The following is a 2333-nucleotide window of genomic DNA, read 5'->3' as shown; positions in this document are numbered from 1 at the left end:
AGATCCACTGTTAGTCTGATGGGCTTCCCTTTGTGGGTAACCCGACCTTTCTCTCTGGCAGCCCTTAACATTTTTTCCTTCATTTCAACTTTGGTGAATCTGACAATTATGTGTCTTGGAGTTACTCTTCTCGAGGAGTATCTTTGTGGCATTCTCTGTATTTCCTGAATCTGAATGTTTGCTTACCTTGCTAGATTGGGGAAGTTCTCCTGGATAATATACTGCAGAGTGTTTTCCAACTTGGTTCCATTCTCCCCATCATTTTCAGGTACACCAATCAGACGTAGATTTGGTCTTTTCACATAGTCCCATATTTCTTGGAGGCTTTGTTCGTTTCTTTTTATCTTTTTTCTCTAAACTTTCCTTATCGCTTCATTTCATTCATTTCATCTTCCATCACTGATACCCTTTCTTCCAGTTGATCACATCGGCTCCTGAGGCTTCTTCATTCTTCACGTAGTTCTCGAGCCTTGGTTTTCAGCTCCATCAGCTCCTTTAAGCACTTCTCTGTATTGGTTATTCTAATTATACATTTGCCTAAATTTTTTTCAAAGTTTTTAACTTCTTTGCCTTTGGTTTGAATTTCCTCCTGTAGCTTGTAGTAGTTTGATTGTCTGAAGCCTTCTTCTCTCAACTCGTCAAAGTCATTCTCCGTCCAGCTTTGTTCCATTGCTGGTGAGGAACTGCGTTCCTTTGGAAGAGGAGAGGCACTCTGCTTTGTAGAGTTTCCAGTTTTTCTGCTCTGTTTTTTCCCCATCTTTGTGGTTTTATCAACTTTTGGTCTTTGATGATGGTGATGTACAGATGGGTTTTTGGTGTGGATGTCGTTTCTGTTTGTTAGTTTTCCTTCTAACAGAGAGGACCCTCAGCTGCAGGCCTGTTGGAGTTTGCTAGAGGTCCACTCCAGACACTGTTTGCCTGGGTAACAGCAGCGGTGGCTGTAGAACAGCAGATTTTCATTAACCGCGAATGCTACTGTCTGATTGTTCCTCTGGAAGTTTTGTCTCAGAGGAGTACCCGGCCATGTGAGTTGTCAGTCTGCCCCTACTGGGGGGTGCCTCCCAGTTAGGCTGCTCGGGGGTCAGGGGTCAGGGACCCACTTGAGGAGGCAGTCTGCCCGTTCTCAGATCTCCAGCTGCGTGCTGGGAGATCCACTGCTCTCTTCAAAGCTGTCAGACAGGGACATTTAAGTCTGCAGAGGTTACTGCTGTATTTTTGTTTGTCTGTGCCCTGCCCCCAGAGGTGGAGCCTACAGAGGCAGGCAGGCCTCCTTGAGCTGTGGTGGGCTCCACCCATTTCGAGCTTCCTGGCTGCTTTGTTTACCTAAGCAAGCCTGGGCAATGGTGGGCGCCCCTCCCCCAGCCTCACTGCTGCCTTGCAGTTTGATCTCAGATTGCTGTGCTAGCAATCAGCGAGACTCTGTGGGCGTAGGACCCTCCGAGCCAGTTGGGGGGTATAATCTCCTGGTGTGCCGTTTTTAAGCCCGTCAGAAAAGCACAGTATTGGGGTGGGAGTGACCCGATTTTCCAGGTCCCATCTGTCACCCCTTTCTTTGACTAGGAAAGGGAAATCCCTGACCCCTTGCACTTCTGGAGTGAGGCAATGCCTCGCCCTGCTTTGGCTCATGCATGGTGCAGTGCACCCACTGTCCTGCGCCCACTGTCTCACACTCCCTAGTGAGATGAACCTGGTACCTCAGATGGAAATGCAGAAATCACCCGTCTTCCGCAGCGCTCATGCTGGGAGCTGTAGACTGGAGCTGTTCCTGTTTGGCCATCTTGGCTCAACCTCTGTAATCTTTTCTTAATTCAACCAATATTTAATAAATATTCATTATGTATAAAACATGTCTTAAGCTAAGTATATTAAGGTAAAGAGCACATAAATCACAATGTGCTCTAGAACTTACTATCTAGTCCTGGGAGTGGTAAACTTTCCGTGAGTGGCCAAATAATAAATATTTTAAGCTTTTTCAGTCACATATGGTCTTTGTTGCATATTCTTTTTTTGATGGTTTGCCTATTTTATTGTCTGTGGTTTTTACAACCTTTAAAAATGTGGGATGGCTTTTGCCCTAAAGTTCTAGTTTTCTGACCCATGATTTAGTGATTAAAGCCAGAAGAATGAGAGACCCTAAAAAATACACAGAAATTTATAGAAAAACGATGATTGACTAAATCTTTCTTACTGCTAAAAACAAAGAAACAAAGAAATAAACACAAGTTTTGTTTATACTTGGAACTATTTAGAATAGTGTATTATGTAGGTTAAAACCTTACATCTTTAATGAAATGGTACTTTGCAAATGAAAATGTTACTAAGCCAATAAAATT

General features: G+C 43.9%; 1 annotated feature.

The window, feature by feature from the left end:
- Positions 1421-2021: an enhancer, noted in NCBI's record as "NANOG-H3K27ac-H3K4me1 hESC enhancer chr6:67340492-67341092 (GRCh37/hg19 assembly coordinates)". NCBI's record gives its function as "activates a minimal SCP1, AML or CMV promoter by ChIP-STARR-seq in naive H9 embryonic stem cells {active_cell/tissue: H9 hESC(naive)}" and the evidence as "EXISTENCE:reporter gene assay evidence [ECO:0000049][PMID:30033119]".

This window comes from Homo sapiens, chromosome 6, assembly GCF_000001405.40.
Source record: "Homo sapiens chromosome 6, GRCh38.p14 Primary Assembly".
Classification (NCBI taxonomy): domain Eukaryota; kingdom Metazoa; phylum Chordata; class Mammalia; order Primates; family Hominidae; genus Homo; species Homo sapiens.
Note: the sequence above shows the minus strand (reverse complement) of the source record. Positions and strands in the feature narration are given on the sequence as shown.